This window comes from Homo sapiens, chromosome 5 (genome assembly GCF_000001405.40).
Source record: "Homo sapiens chromosome 5, GRCh38.p14 Primary Assembly".
Classification (NCBI taxonomy): Eukaryota; Metazoa; Chordata; class Mammalia; order Primates; family Hominidae; genus Homo; species Homo sapiens.
This window is the reverse complement of record NC_000005.10, coordinates 59,693,543-59,721,015: the sequence shown is the minus strand read 5'-3', so window position 1 is coordinate 59,721,015 and position 27,473 is coordinate 59,693,543. Positions and strand designations below refer to the sequence as shown.

Genomic DNA, 27,473 nt, shown 5'->3' with positions numbered 1-27,473 from the left:
AAAACTGCTGGGTTTCTGAGCTCTTCTCCATCCTACTAAATGAGAACCTCTAATACAAGAGGACAGTGCTTGGAAATCTACATTTGTATAGAACCCAAGTGATTCTTATCAAGCAAATAATGGAAATTCTATCTTAGAGAAGTCTAAACATACTAAGGCCCTTGTTTAGACTCTATGTAATTTCATTTTCAGCCACTCTGGGCCTTGACCCCTGAGAACCAGCAAAAGAGAACTTTCTTCAGCACTTGGCTTAGCCCTCCCCTCTTTTGTGAAGGAGTTTCCCTTCACTGGTCAGTGTTCCTTGTCTTTAATGATGGTCTTGAACACCACTATGTTGTTGTACTTAAAACACAGAGTTGTAACTGTTTACAGGTTTATATCCATTAAACCACTTGATCTTGTGTTTCATGCTCTCTTATTCTCACCTTAGCATTTAGTTACCACTCACTAAATCAGTTGATCTTGAAACTTTAGAAATCTTACCCTTACCTGAGGGGTCCTTGTTTACAAAGCAGATTTCTAGATGCTCTTGCTCAGGTACTCTTATTCTGTAGTTGAAATGGGCATTTTAGGGCCAGACACTTTGGCTCATACCTATAATACCAACACTTTGGGAAGCTAAGGCAGGAAGATCACTTGAGTCCAGGAGTTCAAGACAGGCCTGGGCAGCATAGCAAGACCCTCTCTCTACATAATTAGCCTGGCATGATAGCACATACCTGGCTACTCAGGAGACTGAGGTGGGAGGATTGCTTGAACCCAGCATTTTAAGGCTGCAGCGGGCCACAATCATGCCACTGCACTCCAGCCTGGGCAACAGAGCAAGATCCCATCTCTTAAAAAAAGTGAGCATTTTAACAAGTGTGTAAATAGTCTACCATTCTCTTAAAACACACACAAACATACACACCTTGAAAATGCAAATGAATGAATGTGTGACAGAGTGGAAGAAACAGCTTCAGAAGGGAGAATAAACATAGCATTTACAGAAGATAGTGAGAATACCACTGATTTGGTATGTTGGATGCTGGTTGGGAGAATTTTATGGGAAAAATACCAGTTGAGTGAAATTATGGATGTTCTTGAGAAATAGCAGAGTTTGAATTGAATGTGGCTTTTTGCATAAAGTGGTAATTTTGGAATTTTGGAATAGGAGAATGAATAAAGATGGCATCCCCAATAGTTGTCATGGCTAGTCTTAGGAAGGGTTGGATCAGATGATCTCTAAAATATCTCTTAACACTGAAATGTATAGTGTTATGCTATAAAATATGTAGATATTGAGTTGTATTAATAAAGCCTTAGCTTGTATTCATGGGATAAAACTTCTACTTAAATAATATTGTAATTTCATTCATTAATGCATGTGTATAAAAGTGGATCAGTATTGTGGAAGGTTTGCTTAAGGTGAGATACATGCAATGGTAGCCTGGAGCCAGGTAGTAGTACCAGCTCAGGAGTACTAACTGTTACGTATTCAATGATTTTGAGACCTGGTTGGAAAGCACAGGCATTATTAAATTATATAAACCCGTAATTAAATAAATTATATGAAATGCAAAGGTAATCAATACTCAAAACTCATTAGTTCCCAAGTACTTCATTATATTTTACTATTATCCATGCTCTTGAGGTTATGTAGTCCATCGTATCTGTGTCGTGGAAATACTATATAATGAGGTGCAGCTACAAATCTCTTCCCAACTCCACATTCAGGGCCATCACATTGGTAGCTTGAAATAAGACATGCTGATAGTAGTTACACCATGGAAATGGACATACTGCACAAATCAGGCCTTTTTTTTTCTCCTGGAGAGCCAACTGATAAATATTTACCAGCATACCAATGGCTCATGTTTAGAATAGTCCCATTGTTTTGGGGTAGAAATTCATTTTGGTACATGGCCTGACTCAAAAGTTCACCCCTTTAGTGTTACCTCCTGTTCAGCATTGAAGCCACTTATGTCTCCTTATATGAAACCAGAAACAAGAGGCTTTTTTTTTTTTTAATTCTAAGAGTGGCTGGCTTTAGTTGTAACAGAAGAGAGCAGGTACCTTTATTGTACTTCAATTTAAACTCCTTTCAAAAGGATCTGAGAACTTTTTCAAAAAAAATTTATTCCCCCAAATCTGATAAATATGCCTCTATTTTACAATCTTTTACAACTTTTCAAATTACTACAATCTGAAAGACATTTTCAATCTTTCTTGAAAGACAGGGAGAATATTGCCATGGATGAAGAAAACAATGACTTGTTTCTTTCATTGTATAAAATCATTCTTCATCACTGTGAAAATAAGAAAATGAATTTTTTTTAGTTGAGCACAATCTCGAGATCTTTCTAACAGCCTCTGTTCTTACAGTATGGATGTTACTCTTGGTTTATAGCTCTGCAAAGGAGTCAAAGAATCTTCCTTTTATGAGGGCCCTGAAGAAAGAAAATTGTGCTGATAAAATTACTTTATGTGCGTTTGAATGATGATATGGCCAAGCATTCTTCAGAAACTTCTGAATTTTTCATGTATGCCTTCAAGAGTTGTAATCCTTACTTAAGCAAATGTCTGTTTAGGAGAGATTCCAGAGATTTTCCTATTTAGAGTGTTTTAAAAATTAAGGAAGGTGTTCACCAGCTTACTAGAGGTTCCTTGTGAAAAGAGAAATGAGTTTTCTTCAACAGTCTTATGTCTTTGGTTCAAGCTGACATAATTAAGGTGTAAACATATCAGTATAGTTTGTTTTGATTAAACTTTAGATGGACATAGAATAGGTAATCAAATTCATTGGATCGAAATAAGTATTCTTACTCTGAAATGAAACAAAATGGAATCTTCAGAAACATGGAAACAATGACCCAAACATCAGAGAGGCATTGAAGATAAATGGGAATATCACTGGGAATAGTGTAATTGGAGCAGTGTTTTCCAAGCCCAATCCTCAGACCTCTCGAAAATGGAGATTGTAACACTAGATTGTGGGCAGTCTATACCAAACCAACAGTACTGAATCAGAGTGGGTTATGGGAATGGCTAGAGCATTTGCAATTTTACAGCATATTCAGAAGATTTTTATGTACACTGAAGTTGAGACGTGCTGATTTAGCAAAGGTAACTGACAATTTGCCTCAATTCCCTCATCTGCAAAATGGGGATTATAAAAGTAGGGTTGTTGGAGGACTGAATGAGTACATATATGTATAGTGTTTAGGACAATGTCTGCTGTTTTACAGTAAGTGCTCTATTGTTGGCTCTTGCCACTATTATTGTTTTGTCAAGGGCTTGTCTGTGCTAGCTGGAATGGAAACTTAAATGTTTCTAATTATTGCAACTGTCAGATTTCTTAAATATCGTAATGAAGCCAGCACAGTGAAGAGCTGTCCTCAGTTTAATGTAACATTGGATCTATCCTAATAATTTTTCTTAGTTTCCTATTGCATTTGTAACTATTTTATTTAAATGTTTTATTTTTCCACAGGGTTACATTTATTTTATTACTTCAGAAATATTAGATGTCATTCTGAAATTGTGGCTGTGCCTTTATCTTGCATGTGGAATTCAATTTTTTATATTCTTTACAAACAGTATTTATAAGAAATAAAGATAAGGTTACAGTGAGTTGTTGTATGAGATGGTAATTTACATGGGGTGCTCCATATGCTTAGCTTTTCTCTGAAGTTATGCATCCCCACAGCAAGGGAAATATTTGCATTTCTGAGAGTGAGAATTTATGTTCATCCTCTACTAGGAATGGTGGCAGCTTTTCCAGGTCAAGGCCCTGCAGATGCCTGATGGTCATGGTAAATGAAGGCTGGATGCAGGGAAGGCAGCAAAATGAGAAAATCTCCTGGGATCAATTAATGGGAGTCATCTGAGAGAGAATAAAGGCAGGAGAACATTTTCTTCTAGTCAGGAATTCGCATCAGTTTTGCCTGGTAATGGGTTTCATGAAAGCCAAGATGAAAGGGTTTTATCCCTAAGGAAAAAAGGGCTCTCCTCACATCCTCTTTCTGTGCTCTTTTATCAATGACTAATAATAACATGCTTGCATCCATGACAATCTTTCAGAAAACTGATGCAAAAACAAGTCCAAAATTAGAGTGTACAGCTGTCGTGATTTCCTGGAGTTTCTGGTGTGTGCTTAGTAGGCACACAGTTTGAGTTACATGGCTTCATTATATGATTACACACTACTTTGTTGCCTCATTGGTGGTTAAGGTGATTTTAAACTTTTCAGTACCCAAAAGCAGTGTCCTGGAACATACCAATGAAGACGGAGAATTGTTTCAGTCCCAGAGATATCCCAAGCAAATACAGCAGTGAACTCAATGGATATTTGTGAAATGAATAAATAAATGAATGAATGAGTACTACTGTGAATATTCTTGTCATGTTTGCTTGTTCTCATTTGGAGAGTTTCTTTGAGGTCCGTGACCAGAGGTTGAATTGCTGGATCTTAAAGTAAGAGGATTACCAACTTCCCTATACGATGCTCAATTCCTCTCCACAATGGCTATACTAGTTTACTGTCTGGCAATCGGTGTATGAGGGTTACCTGTTTATCACATTGTTGTAACATTTGATTTTGTCAGATGTCAGGTTCTAACTGAGGTCCAAGGGGAGTTGGTGGGCAAGTGGCGGGTAGCTGGAAAAACACGTGAGGAACTGTAGACAGTTTCAACATGGATTTACTCTCTCTCTGGCCATGAGCCATGAGCGCAAGATGTATGTACAGCGTCAGCAGCGTAGTTGTACCTTTTACAGACAATAGTGGCTCCAAGCCAAGCACAAGCTTACATGGGTGATCACCTAATGTGCCTCACGTGGCGTGGTTACATAATGTGCAGAGTTGTGAGCCTGTGCTCCAAACTCACTGAGTCATGCTGGACCGGATGTCTGCTTCGGCCTATTTTTGAGAGCAGCACATCCATTTTCCTTACACTCCACCCTCAATGCCAAAGGAGACACAGGCCTTGGACACACAGGTCTAAGACACAGGCCTTATACGTACACTCTGGGGACAAAGGCCCTGGACACACAGGTCTGACACATAGGCCTTAAATTCTACTCCCTAGGCTGAAGGAGTCTTTTAAATGGAGAAACATGCCCACAGGGTGGAACCCCAGACCCAGAGGCCACAGCAGTAATACAAGGAGCAACAACTCCAGGTTATGACGGGCAAACACCCCATGATGATGTTACCCGAATTTACTTTATGCATTAAGCCAGGTTTTTATTTCCCTACCTTTAGGGGCATTGGGGCATGCAACAACAGGTTACCATCCGTTTCCATCCTGGTCATAGGAGGTCATCCTTCCTCCCATAGGTCTTGCCACATGGCCTAGCCCCACATGGGCCAGTGGCCAACTAGCCACTTCTGTATTTTCCAGGTGCCTAACCACAAGGTTAAGCCTCGATAGACCACACAGCTATTGGTGCAGATTATCATATGTGTCACCTCTTTGGTGATCACCATTCATATTGCTCTGACTTCAGCCCATTGACTACTTTGTCCATACCCGGTATGAAACCATATGGAGTCAGTACTAGGCTGGACTGTGAGCAGTCCAGGCAGTAGCAGCACCCCAGCTAGACCCATCTGTGTACCGTGCCCCATCGGGCATAGGGGGGGATGCCCTTCCTTAAATGGTGAAGGCTCAGCATGTAGGGGTGCTTCAGGCCCCATGTCCTTAGGCCCCATGGCCTTATCTTGCATTAGGACTGCTGGTCTCAAGACCTCTTGCAACTCTGCTGCTAAGGGACTTGTACTCAGCGTACTCTGTTGCTTCAAGTAGGTGCCCCACTTTGCTAAAGTGGATGTCTGCACTGTCCCAGTCCGGGGGGTTGTTATCAATGAACACATCCATCCTGCTATCAGGTAACTCGTCTACACGACAACTGTAGCCTGTCCTGCCATGCTCTCATGAGCCCGAAGGGCAGCATATGCAGTTACTAACTGCTTCTCTATCAGTGAATACTGGAGCTCAGCTTCTTTCCATAGTTGGGACCAAAAGCCTACTGGTGTTCTCAAGCACTCCATGCTCTGCCACAGGCCCCAGCCAAAACCATCTGTGGTCACATGCACATCCAACTCAAATGAGCACCCTTGGTCAACTACCCATAGGGCTTGTGCCTGCTGAATAGCCTATTTAGCTGCCAGGAAGTCAGTCTCAGCCACACTATCTTAATTCTAGGCAAGAGGAGCATTGCCGCTTCTAAATCTGCAAGAGAATCAGAGGTTAACATAATATTATCAATAAGACCATGACATATGATGGGGCTATGCATATATCCCTGCAGCAACACTATGAAAGTCCACTGTCACCTTCCCGTGAAGGCGAACTGTTCCTGGCTCTCTAGAGCAATGTTAATTGAAAATGCATTAATCAAGTCCACCACATAGTGGCACTGTCCAAATTCCATCATCAAGCGGTCCATCAAATCTGTAATAGATGGGATGGCTGTCAGGCCATGTAAAACATCCACCCCCAGAATATATCAGCGCTGGTGTTTACCAGTGCCAGCACTTGCTGTATGTTGGTGGAGGACCAGTGGATTGCTAATTTCACATGTGGCCTCTATTTGTCTGGTGTCCCCCCAGGCCAGGCACCTCAGCCAGTTCCCTAATCAAACAGAAAAAGCTCAACATTTCCACCTGGCTGCAGCAAGTAGTCTTTGAGTTGAAGCACCTGAGTGGGACCAGGTCATACAGCAATGTCCTCCTTCCCCTTCTGCATTTCCTGGAATTGCTGCTCTTGAGACAGTTATCTCCACAAAGTTAAGAGTACTTCATTGGGCTGCTTATCGATTTTCTCTCAGTCAACCCTGGCCAAAGTCAAATCTATCCACATCTGTGAGTGGGTCACTTGTTGGGGCCCCCTTTTCTTCCATGATGGGGAGGCTCTGCAGGTGGGGCATCTTCCCCTTTTTTACAGTGCAGACCCAGACCAAGCAGGGGTCTCTGGCTGAGATGACGGACCCAGGCCTGCATTCACAACAGCCTCTAACTCCCTTTCCAACCCTATGCCAGGCCTTCAGGCACCCCACCTGCACCTGGAGATCCCCATTCATGGCAGCCTCTAACTCTTTTTCTAAGCTGTGTAGCTGGGCCTCCAGGCACCCTGCCTGTGCCCAAAAGGCCCTTTCCTGCACTGCATCCCTCAGGGATTGGGAGTGTACTTCTTGTAGCACAGAAAAAATGCCCATCCAACTCTGCTGTCAAAGGCTCATTCCTTCTCGGTGCTCTGCACTTCCAGCTGCTTCAGTGCTTTCTCCGTGCTCGTGGGGTACCCATCTACTGCTGGCCAGGTTTCCAACAGAGTTCACCCTTGCAGCACAGCTGTGACCAGGTACCACAACCCATGTCGTGGCCACATTGCCAACCCAGAATCAGCAGGGACCAAAGGCTCGCCCACCTTGGGATCCTGTTCGTGATGCCAATTGTCAGGTTCTAACTGAGGTCTGAGGGGAGTCAGTGGGTGAGTGGTGGGTAGCTGGAAAAACACTAGAGGAATCATGCACAGTTTCAACGTGCCTTTACTGTCTGAGTGTGAGCCGTAGGTGCAAACCATAGGTACAGTGTCAGTCCGGTAGTTATACCTTTTACAGACAATAGTGGCTCTGAGCCAGTTACAAGCTCATGTGGGTGATCACCTAATGCGCCTTACGTGGTGTAGTTACATAATGTGCAGAATTGTGCACCTGCACTCCAAACTTGCTGAGTCATGCTGGACCTGATGTCTGCCTCAGCCTATTGACTGCAGCGCATACATTTTCCTTAAATCAGATTTTTAAAATTTTTGCCTGTCAGATGAGGTATGTCTGTCACTATTGTTTTAATTATTTTTTCCTAATTGCTAGCAAAGTTGCCTATCTTCTCAAATGTTCACTTATTGTTTTTTTTCCTGTGAGTTCTTGCATCCAGTTTGAACAGTACTATTTAACTTTGTTTTAATGCTGTCAAATTCCTAAAATAGTTGCTTATGTCACAGAAGTTCTAACCTCAGAATGATGATATCCATGCCAAAGCAGTTGAAATTTAAATTCTTAGATAAGTAACTTTAAATATTCCAGTGTTATAGTAAAACATTTATACTGGACTATTCACTCAAAAATTCTTTAAACAGTTGTCAACCTTATTTATTTCATTATAATAATTGTAACTTTAAATGTGAGATATGATAACCACATCTCTGAAATGTGACAACCTTGTCCACCAATGTTATTATGCCTGAAACATAAATCTTGGGCCCCTGCTCAGAACCTTTGCCTTCTAGTTTCAGTAATTATGAAATTAATTTTGTGTTTGGTGTTTTGCAAATTAAACTTACCCTATTAACCCTATAGCGTATATACATTATAGATATATTATTATAATTATTATATTTTTAAAAATAGCTTTATGCTCATTGGGCAGAATCTGTATCAGCACATTTTTTGGCAGAATAGATTCAGTAGACTAATAACTCTGTTATAAATCCCTGGTAGCAATGTTGGGTAAATTCAGTGGACTAATAAATCTGTTATAAATCCCTGGTAACAATGGTGGGGTTTTAATGAGTAACATAAAGAACTTAGAATAAAACAACTTAAATATATATATATATATATATATATATATATATATATGAATAATATTAACCTTTATTCTTATATTTGTATAATGTAGTTATCTGATTTGCAGAGGGAGAGAAAGAGACAGACAAATGGATAGACAGACAGAACGAGATCATTTAGACCATAAGGTTAGAAAAATATTATGAGACTATGGAAAGGTAATGAATATGGTAGAGAGAGATGGAGCTGAAGATTATAATTCTTTACTTATGGACTGCTCTAGGATAACTTTGTTTGATGTTATTTTAGCCTTCTGATATCAGTTTATATACTCTAAAACGAGTAGAAAAGAAGCATCAGTTTGTATAAATATTCTATTTAAATATTGTCAAAGCAGGTCCATGCATCAGAAGTCAAATTAAAACTCACTGGGGAAAACTTTGAAAAGGCCTGAAGGAAATGTACTTGATTTTTATAATGTAATTGGCAAAGGAAATTGTAGTCAAATATGAGAGCTAATGAAAGAGTGAATGGATAAGTAAAATCCACAAATAAGCACAAATGTCATTGGGCTGTTTCCCTTTCCTTACCAAAGAAAATTTCATGAGAGTTGCTAATGAATAAGATCTGAACATTATATAACCTTTATAAGCATTTTCCTCAACCATTTTTTTCTGGTTGAGATGTCAACAAGAAGTAATATATCATAATATACAAAAGAAGATGCATAGTGTATTAATAATATGCTACCAATTAAAAATCGCTGGAATAATTTGGCATTGGAAATGATGAAGGCATAAAGAGCAGATCTTGTATTAGACAAAAACTAGGAAGTTATAGTTAGGTTGTAGTAAATGATGAACAATCCATTTTGATTGTGATTCCCAACTAGCTTTTAGGCAGAGCCTCAACCACAGAAACTCAATCCTAGTGGATAAAAAATATGCAGACAATTTGAAGGGAGTGAAGAGAGCAGAAGAAAGTATGATGAAAGAATTGAAAGATTATGCAACAGAGGAGTATTTACAGCCTGGCTAGATAAATGAATGGATATATTATTTTTTTTAATTTTTTTAGCTAATTTACATTGTTAATTTTTATTTAACTATTATTTTTAAAAGAAGATAAATACTGCAGTGGAAAGAGACTTAAGGGATTATACTAAGGGCAATTATGAGAACTCTTGGGACAAAATAATGGTCTTATATCAACAAAAATTCCCTGGAAGTGTGATATGTCAGCTTGCAGAAAATTTTCCCAATGTAGTGATAAGAATTCTCTGAAGACATAGGCAGATTGAAAAGACATGAATAAGAAACAATGTGAGATACATTTCCATACTTACTGCAGAGGTAAAGCAGAATGGAATTTGTATCTTTTCCTCTGCAGGTCCTATTAGAGAAGACAATAGAGAACCCTCTAAGAGGTGATTGTCAAATTGGTTAATATGCTGTGGTTTGGAGTGCCTGCATTGTGAACAAGGGCACATTCATTCAACTTTCCACATCTTCCTTTCCCTGTAAAATGTACATGGAGTTATGGTACCTTATTAGGCTATTGTTAGTATCACATATAAAACCATGTAAAATTCCTACCGTATGCCTGGTTCAGTCAGTGCTCCTCAGGTGGTAGCTATTGGTTAACCCTATTCTTTATAACATAATTGAAATTAGGTTATATGACTTTTAAATATCCAAACAGTCAGAATAGAAATATTGATGAGAAATTTTGCTTCATCTCAAAAACAGTGTTAGAACTACACCAATGGAGTATTTTTCTCCTAAAAGGTTAATCAGGATATGACATTTATAGGATTTACAATCACAATCCTGATAACTGTGAAATATAATATCAGACTGTTTCTTACTATTTTATTTTTAACATTGACATTAAGTTAAATAATATATTTTGTTACTGTAGCCTAGGATTTTATTTTCCCTGTTATGAGAACAAGGATAATTATTTTACAAATGAAATTTTAAGGGATTAGAGTGCCATAGACATGCTCATTGCATTATTAATGTGCAGAATACTGGAGTTCTGCCATCTTCATGAATCCCCACATTACATTTTGGATAAAGAATAAGTTCTGTATATAAATGTAGGCTTCAGAAGCTTTTGTTGATTCTTTCACCATATTTTATACAAAGGCTTTCTTGCTTTCCTGCCTCTCATGCTAAGTACAGGCCCTTCCTGTACTTTCGGCTAAACGAGATGGCCTTTCATGTATAAAACTCAGCTGAAAAATTGACTTCTTCATAAAACCATTCCTGTTTCATCCCTGACTCAAGGTCCTGACTTGAATTCTTCCGACTTCCCTGGGCACTGAGCCAGCATAGTTCTGGTTCGTTGTATAATTGTTTATATCCTTGTAGCATATTCAGATGCACATAGTCACCATGTCTCACCCAGAATCAGAATCTCTCAAGGAAAGAAAGCATGTCCTCTCTTTCCCTAATAATCCCCAAAGCTCTCAATACCATGCTGTGCCCACAGAAGGGAATCAGTTAAATCTGCTGCAATTGATTGGAAACTTCTTTTCCCCCAGATTTTCCTTAGGTGGTCTCCTGCAGAGTTCTGTCTAAAGTAATGGAGACTTGGGATTTGTATTCTCATTATGCTAATGGTTATTACTTCCTTTATTTTTGAAAACTGGTTGTAGGATCTAAGCTAACCATGCTATTTTCTGCATACCACCCAGCGATTCTCATTTAGCAACTGCCTTCAAATCGTCTACTCCCTTTGGTCTCCTCCTCCCCTCAGTAGGAGAAGGATGAGAGGAAGTTGGAATATTTACACTGAGATGAGATCCTTGAGCACTTGAGCCCTGAGGCTGCCTCTGGACTAACGTTTCTGTTCAGCTGTCCCCAGGTTTTTCAACAAGAGCTGTCAGAAACAAGTTTGTGACTAAAGAGCAGCTTCATCTGTAACTTCTGTTTCTTGCTACTCCCTGCTGTGTTTCTGGCTATCTGGAAGCTTCTCAGCAGGGTAGCAAGTTGTTGGCGCCACTAACACCTTTCCTCTTTCAAATTCATATTCTTCCTTGGGAGGTGAGTTTGCATTTCAGAAAATTCTATTTTAGTGAAACCACCCAGGAATCAGTGTCAGTTGGCTTTCAGCTGTGAAATAACTGCAGAGACTTTGTTACAGCTAAGGGGGTGCGATTCTTTTGGAGAGTTTAGATTTTCTGTTTATAGAGAAGAGTTCTTAGGAATTTTATGCTTAGCTGAAAGTATTAAACACTTTTCCTTATTTCCTCAACATGAATTCTTTTTCCCGGGGCTGCAGGGGAAAGGGCTCTGATCCTGGTTCAGTCTCTAGCTTGATCATTTTAGTCGAGTTCCTTTACTTCCATGCAACTCTGTTTCCTCAAGTATAAAACTATTAGTTGAGTGGGTAGAAGAAGTAGATGATCTTTAAAGCACTTTTTAAGTCTAAAATGTTATGATTCTGCTATCAAATTCACAGCTTCTCAACATCAGATAAGGGTTGGCATGAGTGTTGCTGAAAATATATTTGGGTTGGAGGAAGGGATATCCTCGATTAAAAAAAAAAAAAAAGCCAGATGAGAAATTAAGACTTTTCAGCCAATGCTATTGACATAAACTCAGGGTGACTTTCACGTCCTAAGTAGAAGTGGAACGTTCATTAATTAAAGCTTAGGTAATACCTCTTTATCAAAATTAATAATTTATGTTCAAATTAATCATCATGAATTGACATAGCTAATTTGACCCTTCATGGTTATCAGAGTCTTTTTGGTGAATATCATAGTCTACATTAATTGAAAGAGGATAAGGTACATAGGTGTCCTCTCCCACAACTAAGCCATCATGTCTAATGTAGTAATGAAAGCAGATTTTGGACTGAATTTTGTTGACTGGCAAGCTTTTGTTACCAAGGAGCCACAACTATCATAAAGCCTATTCTCATAAGCTCCATAGACTCCCAGCTTTCTGTCCCTTAGACATTGTGATAAGCGTCTTACATGGAAGATCATTTTTTATTATGTCTGTTTGATTCTTCTCTCTTTCTTCCTTATTAGTCTAGCTAGTAGTCTATCTATTAATTTTTTCAAAAAATCAGCTCCTGTATTCCTTGATTTTTCAAAGGGCTTTTCATGTCTATCTCCTTCAGTTCTGTTCTGGATCTTGTCTTCTACTAGCTGTGGGGTTTGTTTGAGAGGACATGAACAGACACTTCTCAAAAGAAGACATTCATGCAGCCAACAAACATGAAAAAAAAGCTCAACATCACTGATCATTTGAGAAATGCAAATCAAAACCACAATGAGATACCATCTCACACCAGTCAGAATGGCCATTATTAAATAGTCAAGAAACAACAGATGCTGGTGAGGTTGTGGAGAAGTAGGAACGCTTTTACACTGCTGGTGGGAATGTAAATTAGTTCAACCATTATGGAAGACTGTATGGCGATTCCTCAAAGATCTAGAACCAGAAATAGGATTTGACCCAACAATCACATTACTGAGTATATACTCAAAGGAATATAAATCATTCTGTTACAAAGATACATACACAGGTATGTTCATTACAGCACTATTCACAATAGCAAGGCATGGAATCAACCCAAATGCCCATCAATGATAGACTGGTTGAAGAAAATGTGGTACATACACACCATGGGATACCATGCAGCCATAAAAAGGAATGAGATAATGTCCTTTGCAGGGACGTGGATGAATGTTCTCACTTATAAATGGGAGCTGAACAATGAGATCACATGGACACAGGGAGGGGAACAACACACACTGGGGCCTGTCAGGGAGTGGGGTTTAGTGAGGGAAAGTATTAGGAAAAGTAGCTAATGCATGCTGGTCTTAATACCTAGGTGATGGGTTGATAGGTTCAGCAACCACTGTGGCACACATCTACCTATGTAACAAACCTGTGCATCCCGTGCATGTACCCCAGAACCAAAAACAAAAAAAATAAAAACCTAAAAAAAATCTTATTTCAAAAACAGGCTATGGGCTAGATGTGGCCTGAGGGCCATAGTTTGTTAAGGCCTGGGACTAGACCAACATATGCATGTGACCATCTTGTGGATGAGTTTCCACAAGACTGAGAGCTCCATAAAGGCAGAGACTGTATTTTCTCATTTTTTATTCCCCTCAGTGCCAAGAAAAACAGTAATTCAATAAATGTTTGTTGCATTAAAGAATTTATTCACGAAGAGTTATAAAAATCAATCCACTGTTTTTCCATTTGCTATCTCTGAACATGTACTATGTCATTTTTACTTGAAGATATTTATATTGAAATCTCTGGTTAGTGATGTCTCACTTCTGTGTACAGCTAAGAAGACGTACAGTTTTTAAAATAATGTTACTAACTGTAACAAAAACTATTTTATCAAGAAATATAAAAGAAATTCTTTAACAAGGTTGAGAGGTTACTTCATGCATTAAGTTTCTGCTATCTTGCTGATGTTCTGCTATAAAACCTTACAGACACTATGTCTGTATTACTGGTTTCATTTGAAATTTTGCCTTATGATTAATCTAATTTGGTTTCATTGTCCATAATAAAAAGCAATTGAGCATCACTGATGTGGATACCATTTTCTTTAGGTTTTAAGAAAACCACTCTAATATTTTTTCAGGGCCATTATTTTATCAAATATGTATATATGTGTGCATAAGGAGAAGGAGCTCGGAAAAGGATTTATATTTCCTTATAGTCAATTTTATGTTCTTTCTACCCTACCACTAGCTCCACCATATTGAAAATATCTCTATAAATATGGGTTATGTCCTATAAGCAAAGGATACATTCTAGAATTCATTTCTCTCTAAACCATGAAGCATCATCCTTAAGCAAGATGCTAAACCTGAAACCTCTGTAGAGCACATTTGGGTAGACTTATGTTCTCATTCTTGCCTAGAAGAGAGATATTTCTAGTTTTCTTATTTGCTAACCTTATAATTTGAGCACAGAATGTCAGATTTGTTTCAGCCCTTCGATTTAATCACATCATGTCTGATATCCTAGCATTTAATTACCCAAATTCCCAGTGTTGTTCAAGAAGGTAGGTCTGTGGTGGGTTAGCCTTAAGCTAGTGGCTGAAAAGGTCTTGATTTGCCCCCACATCTAACCTAGTCACTTCCTGAGCTGAAACTCCCATATCACCTGGGGACAAGCGACCCTGAAATCCTCACTGGCCACAGCTTCTTCTGAGGGAAGCTGCAGGAAAAAGAACAAAAATGAGCTTTTGTGAAAGGATTAACTTGGGTGAAGAACATCCTCCATAACCAAATAAATGGAACCTAGTAACCCACATGGCCAATCCCCAGGGCACTAGTGTCTTTGGGGATATCAGGGTGTGTATAGAATTTCGTTTTTGTCATTCTTGAAAACATAAAAAAATCTCTGAAAGAGTACTAGTGGTCAAGGTACTAGTCTAGAGATGGACCAAACAATCATATTAAACCTAATTTAATCTCCAGAATTTATATTTTGAGATTGGTAGCACTACTATCTTCATTTTGTACTTTCCCCAACTTCCTGCAGCTAGGATTCAAATACAGACCATCTAACTCCAGAGCACTGCCCTTTAACATTGTGCTATAATCCACCACTTTGCATAGTTGATCCTACAAGAGGATAAGTAGAGATCAAAGTAAGAAGTGATCAATGGATTACTATGTCAAGCATGATTCCCTCAAACTATTGGGAAGAATAAATACCATAACATGTATAGGGTGCTGTGTACAATTCCTGGCACAAAGTTAAGTACATGATAAAATGGAACTATTAATATTAGTAACCCAGATAGGTTCTGGGCACATTAGCAGGAAAGGTCTTCTTAATTTAAGTAAGGTGCTAAAAGCATCTAATTTTATTAGGATTGTTATGAAACAAAAACTAAATGTGCAAGAAAATATATTTACCGTAGCCTGGGGAAAATTGTCATGGTTTCTCTTTTCAAAGAATTCAATTTGGTAAGAAACAGCCTTCAATGGTCCATGAAAAGTGAGAAGTGTAGGGAATAAGAGGCTCTTTCCTATGTTTGCATTTCAGGCTTGCCTTCTTACTTTTAAATTTATCTTTACAATTGCCTTCCTGCTGGGTTTGTGTCTTCCTCAGTTTAGGGAAGGTGACAAGAAAAGTCCTGTTTGTGTGTAATTGACATGAAAAATGGTAGGCTTTTAACTCAAGGAGGCTCCAGACAACAGTTTGGTTATTAAGGAAGGGGAGGACCTAGGGGAACAATTGTTTCTGGCCTCTCTTCTTCTCAGGCCTGGAACAATCTTTCATTTACTATATTCTTGCCACAAGAGCACAGTCAATATTAAATTCCAAAAAAAGAAAAATCCCTCACAGAAACAGCTGTGTTCAATATACAGCCAGTTTACTCTGGCGAATTGCTAGACATGGAACAGTTTTCATTTCTTTTTGTGTTTATCCCTGATAGTTGTCTTGTAAAATCTGCCTTTTGTAAATAAGGGAAGGCTGGTTTTAAACAGCTTTGACTAATATTGGTAGTTGGAGTATTCAGTATTACAGAGTTTTAGAGAACTAAAATAAACCTGATGGAAACACACACATATTTCAAAGGAAACATTTTAAGGTGTTCTGGTTCCATTTTTTCCATTTTGTATGTAAGTTGGATTATGATACTTTTATGTCTACATTGTCTCTTAGTCAAAAATGTGAGAGACGCCATTCAAGTCTAGACTTGGACCCTACTGAATGCCTTGTTCATGGACACCACACAATCTCGATGTAAATGTTTATTGCTGATCTGTACAAAAAGGGGAAAAGTAGTTTTTTGAACAACAGAAAATACCAGTTAATCTCACTGGATTCAGGAATTATAGCAAAGCAATCCAATAAGTGGATTCTCTGAGAGTAGGAACTCAAGTGTGTTATCTCAGTTTTTATCCAGTTTCCAGCACAATGCTGGCACCATTTAAATTCTCAGTCAATGCTGGAGAATTGAAAAAGAATCCTCAAAATTTGGATGACAAAATGACAAAGGTGTCCCCTGATACAGAAATCTGTCCATGGCAGAAAGATTAGTGATTTGAGATATGGTGTCATCATTGTAGATGATGGTGTCCCATTAAGCATGTTTTCACTAATTACAATAAATGTTGAAAGAAGGAGTTTCACCTAGTATCCTTACTAATATCAGGGAATGGCCTGGGCTTTGGGGAGATGAGAGTCCTCTGCTTTCAGTTTAATAAAGTAGGATATTTGTGTTTTTGTTTATATTGTTAAATACGACGGGTTAGCTTGTCACCTACATAATATTGTGTGGCATAAATAAAGGTGAATTCCCAAATATGTGCTCCATAGTGTTGACAATGAGTAAATGTTCATTCTAATAATTGTAAGGGTTACCTCCCTCGCACTCCTTGAAATATCTTTTTATTCAAATTTTTCGAGCTGGAGGTCATGTGTTACATTTCCTGTTGTGTAACATGGCCTCCCTCTCTTTCTCTGTCTCACTTTCTCACTTTCTCCCTCTTTCTTTTACTCTCTCTGCCTCTACCTCTGACTCCTTCTCCTTCTTCCCAGCTTTGCATCAGAGCCATGTAACTGACATTTTCTTGGTTCCCTCAGGACCTGTCATAATAGCAGGCAAATATTAGATGATGATTCAATGTTTAATGAATTTTTCTTGAATGTATGTATGTTGCTTCAAGTCATTCATGCACACATTGAAGAGGACAGACAGAGCCCTGCTGAACACCACTAGCAAATCTCTCTCTAGTAGACCACAACAAGTCAATCTGTGCTCTTTGATTACAGTTGTTCAACCAGTTACTAATCTAACTAATTGTAACTGGTTGAACAACTGAACCCAAAGGGTGCAAAGTAGAAACATTTCATTGTGAAGTCGGCTGGGGACAAAGAAAACACCACCAGAACCCCCTTCAATATGCAAAGGGAAAATTCCTTCTCAAGTACAAGCTACATGGTGCCTTTTTGAATTATCATCAATTTGTAATGCTGTATCAATACATATGTATTATCTGTTCTTTTGGTAAGGGTTGTTTGAAGTATAAGGTACTTCCTCCATTAAGGTGATACTAACCACATGTTAATTATTGTCTGAAAGTCACCAAGGATATGAATAATAAAAAGTTTTAAAAATAAGACCTGTTTCTTTTATTGATAGTTGTACCTCAAGGCTGAAGTGAGGTTTGCAATGTAAGTTGTAAAATGTGATGTGAAATAGACAATTCTTTGTAGTTTATATAAGGCAATATATCCATGTGCAATTATGGTCAAAAACAGCAGACTTTTAAGTGATTATTCTAAAGTTATTTTTTTCCAAAATAACTTTATTACTCTTGATATCATACCATATTCACAAAACATTCTGGTAAAGCTATTGCTCAGTGTGTTGTCCCAGTGAGACTCAGGGAACATTTCTATGTGACGCTTTAGGATTGAAGACAGTTCCACGTTTTCTGAGTAATTCCAAACTGTGTAAGAGATTATGTTCCCTTTGCATATTGGCTGCTAAGAAGCTCACTTTTTCACTTATGATACTTGGATGCATTTTGGCTTTTTGGGTTTTTGTTTTTTGGTCTAATTTTTTTTTTTTTTTTTTTTTTTGAGACAGGGTCTCACTCTGTTGCCCAGGCTGGAGTGCAGTGGCACCATCATGGCTCACTGCAACCTTGACCTCTCCTGGCTCAGGTGATCCTCCCACCTCAGCCTCTCAAGTAGCTGGAATTACAGGCATGTGCCACAACACCCAGCTAATTTTTGTATTTTTTGTAGAGATGAGGTTTCGCCATGTTGCCCAGGCTGGTCACAAATTCCTGGACTCAAGCCATCTTCCTGCCTTGGCCTCCCAAAGTGCGGGCATTACAGGTATTAGAGGTAGGAGCTACTGCATCTGGCCATGGGAAACATTTTGAATGATAACTTTGTTTGTTTGTTGTCTGTTGAGCAGGCTGGAGTGCAGTTGCATGATCACGGCTCACTGAACTCTTTCCTTTAATTTTTTTATTCTCTCAGCACGATTATAATTTATTTTAAAAGTAGGGAATAATTGGCCAGGCGCAGTGGCTCACACCTGTAATCCCAGCACTTTGGGAGGCCGAGGCAGGCAGATCACAAGGTCAGGAGATCGAGACCATCCTGGCTAATATGGTGTGAAACCCCGTCTCTACTAAAAAATACAAAAAATTAGCCGGGTGTGGTGGTGGGCACCTGTAGTCCCAGCTGCTTGAGAGGCTGAGGCAGGAGAATGACGTGAACCTGGGAGGGGGAGCTTGCAGTGAGCCCAGATTGTGCCATTGCACTCCAGCCTGGGCGACAGAGTGAGACTTCATCTCAAAAAAAGAAAAGCAGGGAATAATTAGTAAGTGCCTAACTAATCAAAAATTGTTTCCAGGTGATGTTGCTGTTGATGTATGAAAACCTCTTTCACCTAGCTTCCCTCTTCATTCTTTTCTGTCATATTTCTATTGACCAGTGCTTTCTTGGCCCTTGGAAATGTGATTAACTTTTGCCATGACCTCTATGTTAGTGCCACACCTGACACCTTTATGCCACTCTCTGCCTCCAGAACTCTGTGTCCATCTTATATGTTTTTACCTTCTGCTGGGCCTCAGGTCTGGATGCAAAGCTGTAGAGGAATTGAGCTGTTTTTCACAAGGGATCCAAGAACACATAGCATGTGTGAACTGTACTAAAGCTTTGAGAAGTTGTGAAGAAGATTCACATCAACTATGCACCACACAGCCTTCTTGTCTTGCTGGTACCATCTCCTCACCTCTGTGTTGCTCCTCTTGGAGTCTTCACCTTCCACAACCAGCACTTCTATTCTCACTGTCTGAGTGTGACTTTCCATAATTGTGAAACTCCTTGGGCTTATCCCTCACACTCATTCTTGAATTCTAAGGAATGGCATTTTCTCCATTGTGCTTACATTTGCTTTTCAGTATTAATTGTTCTAGAGAAAAGCATTCATTCACTCACTCACTCATTCACTCATTTAACAAAACCTGTATGGGTATCTACAGTACTATGTTCTAGGTATACTGAAGACACTAACATAAATAATACAAATAATAACCTTTTCTCAGGGAATTTAGATTAAAGTAGTTCAAATTGGAGCAGGGGAAGCAAATATTTACGTAGATTATCAGGGAAAATGTGTAGTGAGTGCCGTGATTAGCACTATGCAGAAGATTTTATGGGAGTGGCAAAAAGCAGAACCTAACCTTTTCTGGGGTGAAAAGTGTGACCTAAACTGAGTCTTAAAGAATGAATGTAGGGTGGAGAGAGGAATAGGAAGAGCATTTCAGGGAGAGAGGAATAGCAGGAACAGAGACACTGATGCAAGGAATCCCATGGTATTTGTGATGAAGGGATGATTTAGTAGTTCAGTGACAAGACATGAGCCTGGAGATAAATAAGGTTTAGGTTCTGGGGACCTTGTGAGCCAGGTTAAGGACTTTGGGTTCATCCTCAAACCATGAAGCATTCCAAGCAATTATGTGACAAGATCAGATTCTAGGGGCTGAATGGAGAATAAATATGTAAGTGGCAAGATTGAAGGCTGGGAATGTAAAAGGTGGCTCCTGCTGTGGCTTGGGCAAAACATCACATAGGCTTGAGCTAGCTTTGTGATTCTACGGGATTGAGAGGAGAATGCTAATTTCATAAATGTTTAGTGGATATGATTGGCATGTGATCTGAATGCAACTGGAGAAGGGGACCAGTCATTTACTGAGTTGATATTGGTAATTGATAAATAAGACCAAAGAAGGTGAGGTTTGGGGATAGGCAGTGTAAATTTTGGAAGTAATAAGGGGATTGAGGTTCTGTCCATGGCATTGGTGGGGAAATCTAGCATGTAAATACATGTAAATAGATAAGTAAATATGCCTATACATTTATATAAGATATCTATACACTTATTCTCCTTCTTTGTTCATTTATTAGGTGTGAAATCTACGTGATTTTTTTCTCCCATATTATTTTTGGTATTCAATAAATGTGAATCATGAAGAGATAGCTGTTTTATTTAATCTCTGCAAAGTCACATTCTTACCCATTTTGATTGTAATAAAAGGCCTATGTCGTTATTTAATTTTTTAACCTTTGTGGCATGATTTATAGAAGGAAAATAAAAGTGTCATAGGTATGATAGGCCAAAGTTGGGTTGTTGGTAAAATAATAATACCACAAAATGTTTTTCTATTTAGCCAACTACTGCAAAGTTACTTTAATTGTGTTTGCAATTAATTGATTTCACTTTAAACCAGAAACAATAGAGACTGTAATCACACAGCCCTGCAGTTCTGAATGTTTTGTTCTTCCTTTTATTGGTTTTCTAGATATTCCTAGTTGGCAACAGGATAGAGTTCAGTAATGGTTATGCAATTTCATTGTGCAGGGTATTAAAATTTGTGACCAGGGATCCCAGGAGACCAGCTATTAGATTTTCAATGCACTATTAGATTAAATATATCTACTCAAACTAAAGGGATCCTGCCTGAGGCTGTCTGATCAATAGTCTATCATTCCTGTGCAAATGAAGCTATTAAGATTCTCTTAGGAGGTAGACTATCTAAATTGGATCTAACTAGTAGATGGTGACTGAAATGAGGGATATACTGATACTTAATTGGCATCAATCTGACCTTGATAAGATTTTGAAAAAATAAATACCTTTTTGCTACAGGTTGAAAAAGAGGTGTAAAATAGTCCCTATTTTATATTATTGGTTCTTAAGTACTTATCAGAAAAATGACAAAAGTCAGTGTCCATAAACAAAGGTTCCATTGATCTTTGATCACCAAATCATCATTTCTATCTTCCTCTTTTTTGTTTAGGTCACTGCAGTCACCATTACCTCCACCACCATCATAATTATATATAGCTACCACTTCTTGGACACTCAGGTCTGCTTGTGTTTGAACCAGACATTTCTAGCTCCAAAGCCTGCATTCTTAATTTCCTGCAGTCTTAATACCATCTTTTTAATAGAAGACCCCCACAGGAAAAGCTGATTCTATAATTTAAAAATGATTTGGGGATCCAATAAGTCATGATTCTATTTTATATAATTTTGGAAGATGTGGCCAGAGAGCTAACTCTTTTTATTTTATTATTTTTCTTTTAATTGTTGACGTACTTATAACCACCAGCTATGAAGCTATAATTTATTGCCACATTGAGTATGTTAAATTGTTAATTTACATAATTTCTGATTCTTATTTCTCCCCTCTCAAATTCAATTTGATAATTTAACATACCTGCTTCTGTGTGTTCCATGGAACTATTAATATAATTTTTTAACAGAATTATGAGAGAATTACATTTCCCCAGCTGTAGATCAATTGAGAAACAGTAGAAATGAAAAGGTTAAGAAATTCTGCTTCAAAATCTCAAATGGTCAAAGTCATTGACATTGTAAGCTCTTCTGTTCGACTCAAGCCTGGTGGAAAATGTAATGAAGAGGTACAAAGTACACTGCATAATCCAGCAAGCTAATTGCCCACTTTAAGGCCTCTTGAGCCCAATGGCCAAGTGAAACCTCCACTCTCAGGGAAATTAGGCAACTGCTAAGGTGGTTTTGCAGTTTTCAGAGACACAGAGATTAGGTTTTTCAGCCTTATATAGATCTGTGATCACTAATGATAGTCTGTGCTAATGAAGGTAGTTTTTTGAATCAAATGCATATTGACTTAGGTCTTCAGCGCAGAATGTTGATTCACTGCTGTCATCCCTGTCAAGAGAGCTGCATATGTAATTATGGTTTTCTTTTGAATAGATTTGCTTTGGGACTGTCACGCAAATTCCATTTCTTCATGTTCTTGCTATCTTTCAACCTCAAATAAATAAATAAATAGAAAAAATATCTCTAAGCACTATGTGTGGGCTGTCATTCTTTTTACATTTAGTGTTCTAATGTTTTTAAACAAGTCAGTTTACAGGTAAAGTTTGCTGTAATAGGATTGAATGTGGGTGTATGTGGTGGTGCTTCAGATCTCTTTCCTTCTGCTTGACCCTTCATGTTGGGTAATAGTTTTAAAGCGCTCATGCCAGAAAGTAAACCACAACATAGTCAACTTCTCAAATATCCATGCAATGTAGAAAGTCCGGGGTCAAGATGATTACTATGTGATCTGCTTAAGTGGGAACAGGGCCATTTCCCTCGCCTTCAACACACTCAGATACATCTCAGCCAACCAACATTTTGCTGTTTGAAAAACATGGCAGACTTTATCTTGTCCCTAAAGAGAATGCTTTTCTCCATCCCTCTGCTTAATATCCTGTGGCTCCATTTAACCTCCAAGCCAAAGTCCAGTTTCTTTTAGAAGACTTCAGGCAAAATTAGGAGCCTCTTATAGTGGGATGAATGCTTTCTATACTGTTTTTGTAATATTTTTGTAACATTTGCCATATTAAACTCCATTTATTTTATGGGTCTGAATCTTCACTAGACTAAACTGCTTGAGAGAGGAGCATGTATAATTCATTTTCATGTTCACAATGCTGAAACTGATGTCTATAGAGCTTCAGTATTTGTCCACTGCATAAAATCAGTAAATAAAGGCAGGAAAGTTTGTTACATCAAGTAGGACCAAGGGCTAGATCCATTGGGACAATTCAACAGGGCTTTTCATTGGTTATTCTAGCTGATATCAACCTGCCCTGACCTGAATCAACTCTGAGCCCCTACCTAGGCTGTTGTTTCTTAGCAAGTACATAATAACAACTCATCAGAATAGCAGAGATCTTGGTAACAGGTTGCCTGACACTTGACTGATATGGGAAAATCCTGAACAGGTTTGGACTGGAATCTTGGCTCACAACCTGTGTGACCTTGGTCAAGATATTTTATCTCTCTGAGCCTCAATTTTCTCTTCTGTTAAATGAGCATAGTGAAACTTTGTTCATTGGTTTGCTTTGAAGAGTAAATGAGATGGTAAGTGTTGGTGTATGTAGTGCAGGAACATAACAATTCTTGATAGATATTCATTGAATACCTGTAGTACATAGAACATAGAAAGTTCCTGTTATTCCACTCCCACCCCCACACACTTGCCCTTCAGGTCTCAGGTTCTCCTTCCTGGTACCCCCAGAAAGATTAAGCCCCTTTGGCCCTCTATGTGCCTCTTTTATAGCATTTAACACAATTATAATTAATTGATTATGTAACTTTTTTATTTAATAGCTGTCTCTTGTAGAATATAAGCACATAAATTCAGGGACTATCTATTAATGAATTTTCCTCTAGTGCCTAGTACTTAGGTGGCTCACAGTAAATGCTGATTCAATGGATGAATAACTTTATTCAGTCTGCTCAGTGTGGCCTTTAATTTAGATTCACCCCAAATTACTCCCCATCAGGAAGGCTTTCTTATTCAACTTTCTCATCCTCAAGATTAGCAAAACTACTCTCTTTCTATTCCCAAATATCTTCTCTCAGTTTCATTACCATGATCAGAAAGTACTCTTCCTTGAATTTATTTTCTAGACTAGATCTATTTTGGGGTTTTCTTACCAGTGATTGTAACTATTGATGTGGTCTTTTTTCTGTTTTTTACTTCTCATATGTGTATCTCTTTCCATTAGTCCTTCATTCCTTCAACAGATACTTTCTGTTGTGACAGCCACTCTTCTAAGCACTATGGAAGGATTTAAAGCTGTGTGAAGCACAGTTATTCCGGTCAAGGAACTTAAAAAAATAATACAAGTGACAAAACATGTGCAAGTTTGACTAAAGTATGAGACTGGAATAAATACCTTATAAAAACCAAGAGCTTCAGTATTTTCCTGCAGTTTTTTGCTCTATTGTATTCTCAACTTTTACTGGTTTCTCATCAAATAAATGTGTTAAAGTATAACTCAGATCATTGCTTAGATGTACTTACTTTTCCAACAAGGCCTTCCCTGAACATCCTATTTACCATTGCAAATGCATTCCTCTCCACTAGCGCCATTCTTACCCTCTCTTTCCACATCAATGAATTTCATAGCACTTGTCACTTTTTTTCATGCTGTATAATGTATATTAAGATATTGCTTATTGTCTGTCTCCCTTCAATAGAATGTAAGCTCCATGTGGGCCAGGATGTGTAGTCATTGATGTATCCCTAGAATAAGTGCCCAATTATAGTAGTCATTTGATGGACATTTATTAAATGAAATTATGAATGAAGTAGGGATTGGCAGTTATACACTAAGACTCTGGAAAAATGGCCTGAGTTGAATCCTGGCTTTACCATTCTTGGCTATATAATCTCATATTATTTACTTTCAGCCTTTCATTTCCCAGATGCCCCTACCTTCTAGGGTTGTTGGGAGGATGGAATGCATAATACATGTAAACCAGCAAGTTCATAGTAACAAAAGTTGACTTTTTAAAAAGTTAACTTACTCTTCTTTCCTATATATGTGTAAATCATATTTTATTTTCTCATTTTAAAAAGAAGACAATAACTAAAGGTATTAGCACATAATGATTCAAAACATAATATTTCCACATGTCGAGTTGAATGACTTTGAGCCAGATAATATGAGTTGAAATCAGTTTAACAATAATTAAATCAGCCAAGAGCAGTGTCTCATGCCTGTAATCTCAGCACTTTGGGAGGCTGAGGCAGGTGGATCACTTGAGCTCAGGAGTTTGAGACCAGCCTGAGCAACGTGGTGAAACCCCATCTCTACAAAAAATACAACAACAAAAAATTAGCCAGGTGTGGTGGCTCATGTCTGTAGTCCCAGCTACTTGGGGGGCTGAGGCAGGAGGATCACTTGAGCCCAGGAGGTCAAGGCTGCAGCGAACTGTGTTTGTACCACTGCACTTCAGCCTGGACGACACAGACCATGTCTCAAAAAGAAAAAAAATAGAATAAAATCAAATACACACCATTTTTGAATATGTCACCAGTCTGTGTAGTTCATCTTGAAAGGACTTCAAGGTCCAATATGCATCATGCAGAGAGTTGCTAGGGCCCAGACAAGAGTGACTTGACCATTGGCCTGAGTAGTTAAACTATCAGATAACTAGTGAAACAATTCGGCTATTTCAACAAACATGTTGCATACATAACGTGTTATGCACAGAGATGACATTTGGTATAATATTATGGCAATAAAAGGTGCAGTTCCTGCCTTGGGGAAGCAATTGTAATATACTGTGAGGAGCTAAGAGTAAAGAAGGGGCCCTTGTAAATGAGGGGTGGGTCAGTAGGGTAGCAGTTGGCAGAAGACTCACACTGGAATAAATGCTCCTTGACTCGATATTTTTTTTTTTTCAAAAATGCAGAAGCATTATTGAAGCCCGGATGTTTGGGTTCTATGATAAATAAAAGATATGGATTTGAGCTGCTCATTAAATTTTGAAAGAAAAGATCCTAAAAGGTTAGAGACCATGGAGATTTCAAAGTGGCTGACCTTGATTAGATATAAGTGTAAGTCAGATGGGTATTCCTGGGGGGTCCCGACTTTAATACAATTTGAAAGTTTCATGATTATGAGCACCTCTCTGTGCCTCCTTGGTGGAGAGCTGACCTATGAGTAGTTACTGTGTGAATTAATGAACATCCTTCAGCAAAAGTTATTAATAGTAATGTTTGGTAAAAGTCCTTTAGAAGTAGACTGTTATGTGTGTTACTAGTTATAATCAATTAATAACCTGTGATTTGTAGGAGCAAATGGTCATAGGGATACAGTATACATTTTAATCTTGCTCTTCAAACATCACCGTAGATCCATGGTCCTTCTCAAGACATTGGCTTTGTTCTGAAGCAGCTCCCACGCTCTTCCAGAAATCTCTATGCGGGACTCTGAATGTGGTCAAGAAGAAGATGTACTGGATGCACATTCCCTATCAGGAGTCTCTTAATAGTCTCCCACCCAGTTACAACATATTGCTGTAATCCCACACAACAGCTGAAACATCTTTTCTTCATTTCTTTTAATTCCTGTAGCATTTGATGTCTCCACCGTGTAATTTACATTTAATTGTAAGTTGTTTTGCATCATTTAATAGTTGTTTCAAGTATGAATGTCTTGCCTTCCCAAGAAGATTAAAATAAGATTCCTTTAAGAACAGAGGCTCACTGCGCAGTGCCAGACATAGACATAGAGTAAACCACAACTACTGACTTCACTTCAAGCTGACCTAACCATCTTCCCAGCGAAGACGGCCAACCTGGTGTATAACTCATTCTTCTGATCTGCACTTACTTTATAGAGGAATAAATACACTGAGTTATTGGGAGTTTGTGAAGGAAGTGACTAGAATTTCAATAAAATAATAAAGTTTTGTTTTGTTTCATTTCGTTTGAAAAGAAACTGCTGCATGGCCAAGATATTTGAAAATGGAGGCTGGGATTGGACAGGGGTGAAGAATTGTGTCACAGACTTTGTACTGGAAAAATGTCTGCCTTAATCTAGTGAATAAATATGACTGTTCTTTGAAGTCCTTTTTTTCCTCCCCGAGTATAAATTCAAATGCTATTCATTTTCTGAGTTGCCTGTATTTCTTTAGCCCTTAAGGCATCAACCTTTGATGTCTTATTTTCATAATATTTTCTCTCTTAGAACTGATCCACATATTCAGTAGAATGGAGGTATAAATCCTAATCCATAGACTACTCCGAGCTTATTGAAAGTGAATCTTATTTAGATTCTTTCCTTTATCTGCTCACTGACAGATCTAATGTTAAACAGAACCTTATTATCATCACAAGGAAGTAGATTAAAAAATACTTTTCAGTCATTCGTATTCAACAAGTACACTCCATCAAATCTTGCCTAACTTTTTTTGCAAATAACTTTGCTCCTTGGATCCTCTCCCAGGTCTTTATCAAAATGGAACCACATACATTTGTAACTACCTCATAATTAAAGTTTTGAGTCATTAAGTTCAGTTATCTTTAAGGGTAAACATTGAATTTGCTGTAAAAG

General features: G+C 38.3%; 1 protein-coding gene and 1 non-coding gene across 23 annotated transcripts in view, besides 3 other annotated features; both read left to right on the top strand.

Moving 5' to 3' along the window:
• PDE4D (phosphodiesterase 4D) overlaps positions 1–27,473 on the top strand; it is a 1,553,091-nt gene that overhangs the window by 801,113 nt on the left and 724,505 nt on the right. The gene's annotated exons all lie outside the window — the stretch shown is intronic.
• Positions 7,607–7,807: a silencer, noted in NCBI's record as "peak5261 fragment used in MPRA reporter construct". NCBI's record gives its function as "represses an SCP1 promoter by STARR-seq MPRAs in K562 erythroleukemia cells {active_cell/tissue: K562}" and the evidence as "EXISTENCE:reporter gene assay evidence [ECO:0000049][PMID:32103011]".
• Positions 10,759–11,053: a silencer, noted in NCBI's record as "tiled region #14831; K562 Repressive non-DNase unmatched - State 24:Quies". NCBI's record gives its function as "represses a minimal TATA promoter and a strong SV40 promoter by Sharpr-MPRA in K562 cells {active_cell/tissue: K562}" and the evidence as "EXISTENCE:reporter gene assay evidence [ECO:0000049][PMID:27701403]".
• Positions 11,182–11,914: an enhancer, noted in NCBI's record as "OCT4-NANOG-H3K27ac hESC enhancer chr5:59004928-59005660 (GRCh37/hg19 assembly coordinates)". NCBI's record gives its function as "activates a minimal SCP1, AML or CMV promoter by ChIP-STARR-seq in naive and primed H9 embryonic stem cells {active_cell/tissue: H9 hESC(naive and primed)}" and the evidence as "EXISTENCE:reporter gene assay evidence [ECO:0000049][PMID:30033119]".
• Positions 17,313–17,410, top strand: MIR582 (microRNA 582). The gene has a single exon (NR_030308.1). It is a non-coding gene; the product is annotated as a microRNA 582 (primary transcript).